The 7507-nt window shown below is 40.6% G+C and overlaps 2 annotated features.

The window, feature by feature from the left end:
* Nucleotides 1-555: an enhancer, noted in NCBI's record as "OCT4-NANOG hESC enhancer chr7:34258701-34259255 (GRCh37/hg19 assembly coordinates)". NCBI's record gives its function as "activates a minimal SCP1, AML or CMV promoter by ChIP-STARR-seq in naive and primed H9 embryonic stem cells {active_cell/tissue: H9 hESC(naive and primed)}" and the evidence as "EXISTENCE:reporter gene assay evidence [ECO:0000049][PMID:30033119]".
* Nucleotides 5970-6800: an enhancer, noted in NCBI's record as "OCT4-NANOG hESC enhancer chr7:34264670-34265500 (GRCh37/hg19 assembly coordinates)". NCBI's record gives its function as "activates a minimal SCP1, AML or CMV promoter by ChIP-STARR-seq in naive and primed H9 embryonic stem cells {active_cell/tissue: H9 hESC(naive and primed)}" and the evidence as "EXISTENCE:reporter gene assay evidence [ECO:0000049][PMID:30033119]".

Consider the following 7507-nt stretch of genomic DNA (forward strand, 5'->3'; position numbering starts at 1 on the left):
GATTCTCCTGCCTCAGCCTCCCAAGTAGCTGGGGTTACAGGCATGTGCCACCATGACTGGCTAATTTTGTATCTTTAGTAGAGACGGGGTTTCTCCATTTTGGTCAGGCTGTTCTCAAACTCCAGACCTCAGGTGATCAGCCTGCCTTGGCCTCCCAAAGTTCTGGGATTACAGGCATGAGCCATTGTGCCCAGCCCAGTCTCTTTCTTTTATCAGGGCCCCTTTTCCTAGTCACAGCATGCTTTCATCTCCACAGTTGCCATGTTAATCCTTATCCATTCATTCCTGAACTGGAGCCGTTAAGGACACTAGCATCTCTAATGCTCTTTGCAGAATGATTGTCCTGGTTATTAGAAACATTACTTCATGGTCCTCAAGCCCTCTTTCCCTGTGAGGACACCACCTGCCACCCCGTGTTTCACTACTGCTTCACTTTCTGCTCATGCTGGTGACAGCTTTATAAGCTTCAGCAGGAGTATTTCCAGACTGGGGCCTGTTGAAAATTATTTCTTCCCTTGTCATTATTTAAAGGTATGAACACAATGTGTCACTTCATTGAAACAGCCTCCCTGGCTTCTTAACCATGTAACTCTCAAAATTGTAAAGGCTATTTATACTCCAGGGGTCTGACCAATATTAATTACATATTTATAACAATAACAGCAAAACCTAAAAAGACCTTTTAAAGCCTCTTGTGTGCTATGTATAGCTGGTATATTGGAAATGTTTATCAAGGCCCCACCCCTTATCTGAGATTTTCTGTTTCCCATTGGTAATCTGTTAGCTCATACAATTTCAACTGGGGTCAGAGATATACTGACTTCATTTAAATATTATTTCCCCCAAGCTGTCATGAATACGAGGCAAGTGTGTCTAATAGATTTCTACCAAAAGTATTTGAGGGATATCAGAGGATTTACAGGAACAAATTCTAGTTGCTAGTCGGAAGTTTCTATTCCCAATACGATTTCTCCACCATCCTCTAAAGCAGAGAAAATTTACTAGTATGTCCCTCCTTATGGGACCTGGCCTCCTACCACTTTACCAACTCGCTTCTCTTTCCTCTCTTCTCTCCTCTCAGTTTCAGGGCTCTCACTTTCCATTAAACATTCAAGACTTCTGTTTCACTAGTAAGCAGAGCAATTTGTCTTTGCCTTGCCTCAACCTTCTCCTCCCAGACTAGGCCAAAGCCTTGTGTTTCATATTCAAAAGGGCCATTTACAAGAGAGCCATTTTGTGGAGATTAAGCTCTCTCAGTGCAGAATTGGTGACAGTCACTAAGTATATAAATTGCATCTCTGCTCCCGCCAAATATGGAGCAGTGCAGCCCTTGGAGTTCCCATCTCGCTATCAACATCCACCCGTGCTCCTTTCCCATCCTTTCCCTTCACTTTTCTCTCTCCTTTTGTTCCACTGATATAGCCAATTTTGCAGCCTTTCCCACTTTGCTGAGAAATCCATAGACCCAGGAATCTGACCCCTTTCCTTACTCTTGAATAGTAGGTGCTGGGCCATGATATTTAATGGCATTCTCCTCAACATGTGTTATCACGTGTTATCAGCCAACATCCACTTCTTTCGTTTCCCTTTCCTCTTGCTCATGGGATTTCAAGAACTACTGGATGCAATCCAAATAGTGCAGTACTACCAGGCCTTCTGTAGGTTTGTTTTTCTCTTTCTTTGATCTGCACCATTTAGTTATTGCTTTAAGACACTGTGTGGTTTATGTAGTCTCGCAGAAGTGCTTCACCTCATTCTTGAGAAAATCCAATTTGATGTTTGATGTTCAGGAGCAAACCTTAGTCATTGCTGCCAAGTACTCTTATTCTGTTATTCTTCAGAAAACTCATCCATCATCTGGCCTGGCCCAGTGCTGTTCACCCAGTGCTGTAATTGCACTGTGATTACCTGCACTGGCCCTCCTGCCTACCTTAGGTGCGATCATTTCTCATGAGCATAATCCATTGCTGTCATTGAGGGCTTGGAGGAGATTCATTTCCACTGTCTCCTGTGGCTTCTAAATAAAATCTTTTAAGCAAAGACTAGACAAAAAGGAAGGCTGAGGACAGTGATGAATCCCTGTTTCCCTCCTAGCTAACATGTTCCCCTCCCAGCCCAGGACCCATGCATTAGGAGTAAACAGATCACTCATATCACAATATTTTGGTAATAAATTGCAATGTTCACTATAGTGTGATTGAGGCATTTGTTAAGAATGATACTGCTAAATAAAAAATTTTCTCTCAATTCACGTAAGATTATACTGACCTTTTTACAGAAAGTCAGACTAATCAACCTGACATCAAGCACACAACCAGGAGGACACTGACTCGGTCTGAGATGCCTGGACCCTAGTCCCATGTTAATGCATCTTGGTCTTCCTTATACCTCAACCTCAGAACTTACCCCAGAGTACCTACTAAAAATGGATCTCAAGGCTGTTTAATGGAGGTTTATGCCATTGTTGGGGCTTCTATGTACAACAAAAAAGCTACTGTAATTTTTAGGAGAAGAAAATATACAAAGAGATTCTAGGCATAGAGTTGGAGGTGGGAAGAGTATGTTCTGGAAAGGGAAATAAACATGACCAGGAAGGATAGAGTGTGAGGAGGCCTCCTGGGCTGGAATCATCAATGAGTGGCCTGTGTACCAGCAGCATCAGCATCACCTGGGAGCTTGTTAGGAATTCAGAATCCCAGACCCCACCTCAGATTTCCTAAGCCAGAATCTGCATTGATGCAAGATCCCCAGGTGATTCCCATTAAAGCATGAAGAGAATAATGTTCTAGGCAACCAAATCCCCAAACATACATATATGAGGCTGTATATAAGTCACCTGTAGAAATTAAACCCTCAGCACCCTGCCTGGTAAATGTTGTATGTTTACAGGGGAAGAAAGGACCAGGGGAGGAGGTAGGAAATGAGATATATATATCTTACTGTACACAGAGAGGAGCACCATGAACTCAGAGTGACATATCCTGCTTAGCCCAGGTAATGTCAGTGAAGTGAACAAAAACTCATGTTGAGCGCCATGTGAACCCCTCGCAGCCAGTGCAGAGAATGTGACGACTGACCCTTCACAACCTCGCTATTCCTTATCTGATGTGTAGCAACACAGGCATTAAGGGAAGTAACTCCAGCTTCTGTGTTAAACCCTGATTGGGCAGATCCAGTGCTTTTCCAAGGGTAGTTCTCGGGCCAGAAGCATCAGCATTACCTGGAAAATGTTTAGAAATGCAAATTCTCTGTTCTCATCCCAGACCTACTGAATCAGAATTTTGGGGGTCAGTTTCTCCAGGAGATCCTAAGGCACACACACACCTGGAGAACCAATGGTCAAATACCACTGACCATTTGGTTCTATTACACTAATTGACCATTACCCTAGCAGGAATTAGGAAACCCAGCCCTAAGCCAATGAATGACAATGGGATTGGTTCATGAATATGTATGGGATCCCAATACAGACCAAAGAGACTCAAGGTCTGTCTTGGAGAAGGTTATTTGGCTTTTCTGAGGAAAGCTTCATAACATTTAAAGAGAAACTTAGGAATAGTTTCTCTCCCTCTAGATGATGCTGTGGACCCATATAGAGCAAATATTGCTGCAGCCATCTAGTTGCTAGCCTGAAGGGAGCCAGCACAGGATGAGGACAGAGGAAAGGGAATAATAGGCAAATGGCATGGAGCCTGCCCACCTCTAGATTACACTTAGGTAAGCCATTTAATTTCTTTGCTTCAGCTAGCTCAAGGTGGCTGTTATTTGCAGCTCCAAGCATTTAACTGACAGCTTTGATGCAGTGAATAAGCTGCATTGGCCTAGTTTTGCTGATGATCTCAACCCTCTTCAAACACAGAGGTGTTAGGCAAACTATTTCATAACTGGCAGAGTCCAGGCACTGACCAACGGGAAGAAATGATAGCTGGGCACTTTATTATTCATTGAGAGGAGCTCATCAAAAATCAAAATTCCTTCTAATTACTCCTGTAGCAATTATGGTACCTCTTCTACCATGTACCATCAGGGCAGAGCTTGATTTTTTTTTTTTAACTCCAATCGTCCATTTTTGCCTTTCTGAAATCCTACAGCTGGCTGGCAATCAAAGGGATACTTCTCACTGAGACTTTCCTTACACCCTAACTTTACTACTCTTTTTTTTTACCTCCCACTTGTTCTATACATGGAAAAGGAGTAGCTAGTATTTATACCTTTTAACAAATCATCAAATACGTCCTTCAATTCTCTTCCTTTCTTTCCTTCTTATTCAAATTTAATAAAATCTTGATAAAAAGTTTAAAAATTGATAAAACAAAAATTGTGTTAAAAGATTTGTTAAAATGAAATGTCAGGGCTTAAAAAGTTTATACTAGAAAATGCGAATATGAAGTATTGACTTTTTTCAGGATTATTTTAGTGTTGAATTGATCTTGTTCCAATTCTTTGGAAATTCTTTGAAAACCTAATTCTTTGAAATTGTTAATTCCTGTATAGTGTATTTATATGGTAATAGCTATTTATTAACTAGGAATATTTGAGTCACCAGAAAAAAAATGCATATATCTTAAATCATGTAGTATGGGATTTTAATGTACTCTATAAAAAGTGGTTAGTTTATTAAAATCAGGATCAAGAGCCTTTAGTATAATTATCATGGGTACTATTGTGTGTGAAATGAGACATATACATTTTAATATAACTTACACATTAATAGCTACTGGTAATGGCTAAACCATGATAGTCTGAAACTGCAATCTGTTTGCTAGCTCCTGTTTCTCCTGTCCATCAGAGGCATGTATTTGCACTTGAGTTTTAGACATGAGCACTGAAGATACTAATGATTAACAACTAGATCTCTTCCTTCTGGAAAAAAACAATACTGAATATATCATATCCTAATTGTCCTCAAAGAGAAATGTGATAGTAGAATTCTACTTTAATTCAGACCTGAAGGTAACCCTGAAGATATCAATAACTATATATGGGCTCTACATGTGGCTAGGCAGAGCTGAGTGAATTATGGTGGTGACATTCTCACTACCAAATACTGTGCCTTATCCCTAAGCAGCCAGTCATATATTCTAGTCTCATCAACAAAGTCTTATCAGAGGGTTTGTTAAAAAGATATCTTTTGAGATTCAATATTAAGTTTTAAAAAACACAGTAACCTAGTTTTTAAAAGAAATTATAAAATCACAACAATAAAATTCAGACTGACCTAGACTAACAACACATCAAATCATAAAATTACAACTATAAAATTCAGACTGACCTAGATTAATAACACATCAAATTGAGATCCTATGATTTATTGTGATCTGATAGCCTATAACTAATGGTCCTGCCATGTCACTTAATAGATGATTTCAGAGGTAGGTTTCCTAGCAACATTACAGCTGGTATTAAGTCTCTTAGAATGCCTGACCAGGAACCATAAATTAGTCCAGCTCTTTGAGTTGTTTCTGCTCTTAAACTAGCAGGGAGCATGATTGGAGTTCATGATAGTTCACTTTGGGAGCCCTCTGACAATTGAAAAACACGGCTTTTCACTCCTGTTGTTTCTTGTGTTGCTAGAATCTTGAGCAGAAAAGTCACTTCTTTAATCTCAAGGAATCAGAAAAACTATCTTTTTATATTGTTAATGATTAATTCTCCCTTGCATCTTCTATCTTATTTCTCTTAAGTTTACTTATAATGCATGCATTGGCTCTCTCTGGTCTGTTCTCTATGTCTTTTAAATCTATCCTTTTCCCCCAAATTCTGCAAGAACAAGGCAGCCTTTAGATTAACTGGGTTGGTAGCTTCTATTGTTCAGCATATCTCTCTGGAAAATTTGAAAATTTGGAAATTTTTAAGCAATTGTGTATATCATCTGAATGTAATCATGCCTGGTTTTGGGTTAGCGCCTGTAAATTTATGCAGTTTCCTTCAAAACCTGATGCTTTTTCTAACAATTTTGTTTCATGTGTTTTTTAGTTCAGATCCTCTGCTCAGCATACTCCAAGCTAGGAATAGATATGCAAAAGGATTTTTAGGGAAATGTCTGTGAAGACTAAAGAAGATGGAACCAGAGAAGGTGCAAAGTGCCTTATCAACCACAAGATCTGATACCTATTCAGGAGAGAGAAGGAAGGAGAAGCCAGTGGGAGAATCCCAGACTATAGCAGAGGTCTAAGAAGGTTTTGGCGAGGCTGCTAGTGAGGCTGTTAGCCAAAGTCACCTATTAAGAGTCCCTTGTCTTGCACGAATGGGGCTGCATTCGTGCATAGTCACTGACTGGAATAGCCTGTGGGCAGCAGCTGGGACCATCACACAACAGGAGATCTGAGTGGTACATTTTCATGGCCACCACAGGGTGTCACTTAATCTTAACCTGTATGTTTCCTTTGATCTAGTAGGTCCTACCTTGCTGGAGGATTTCTCTTCGTTTGTTCAACCTTACCAAGTGAAGTGCCATGTCACTTTGTTCTGGTCTGGAAAATGAAGTGGCTTCACGCAGAGACTGTAGTGATTTCATTATTGTCAAACAGTTCAGGTTCAGACAAAGGAAGAAGGGAAACTTTAGACAGACTCTGTTTGTAGACATTGTCTTTTTAGATAGCTTTGTCTATTGGGGGTAGGAAGAGAGCTAGATTAAGAGGTACAGCACAGTGAGATTTTGCTATACCGAAGAATTCATTTTTCAAACCAAAGTCAGCTAGGACAATGTTCCCTCTTTGACATGTCATGACTGCAGTAGGCATTCCAGTGTTTTACTAAGTATGCCCTCTGCTCCAGGAGTAAGCTAGGAGTAAATGCTACAGTTAGCTGCTTCCCATGCTGGTCTTGGTATACTTTTATTTCTCAGCAACCATGCAATAAACTGCCTTCACCTTCAGCTCCTGCTCTCTGTGGCTGGGGGTGTTTGGGGAGTCCTACTCATTTCCTGTCCACACATGCTTCCCTTTGTGAAAGGTGGATCCTGGGTTCTCCAATCCCTGTCACAAAACAATCTTTTTCCCACTGTGTCTTATATTATATTTGTGGTATTTTGATGCCATCATTCTCAGTTTCAAATTGATGTAGATTTTCTTTTCCTTTAATGTAGCAAAAATCTGTATGGAGTGCAAATTGTTTGGATTTGACTATAGTCTGCTTTCTCGTATCCATTTGCACTGGTGATTGATTGGTTTGCACAGAAGGTCAAAGAGGAAAATGGTAAAAAATAGAACTTGGATTCTGTGCATACTTTGTGTCCTGGTGGATTTGTTGGGTCAGGGAAGATGTGGTGACAGAAGTCAGGTTGCAAGGAGCGATGGCTGCTTCTGAAAAAGAATTCACCCTGCCTGAGTGTAGGTGGCAAGTTGAACCAATCATAGGAACAGGATGTTGGAGGCATCTGGGAGCAGCAGGACAGGTACCATGTGGCCAATGGTCCTACATCTGTTGCAGCCCAGTCATTCCAGTAGGATATGTGCAACTCAGGGGAGGAAGTCATAGGTGTGAGCTGGAAGCGTTCTCTCCGTAA

Source organism: Homo sapiens, chromosome 7 (genome assembly GCF_000001405.40).
Source record: "Homo sapiens chromosome 7, GRCh38.p14 Primary Assembly".
Classification (NCBI taxonomy): Eukaryota; Metazoa; Chordata; class Mammalia; order Primates; family Hominidae; genus Homo; species Homo sapiens.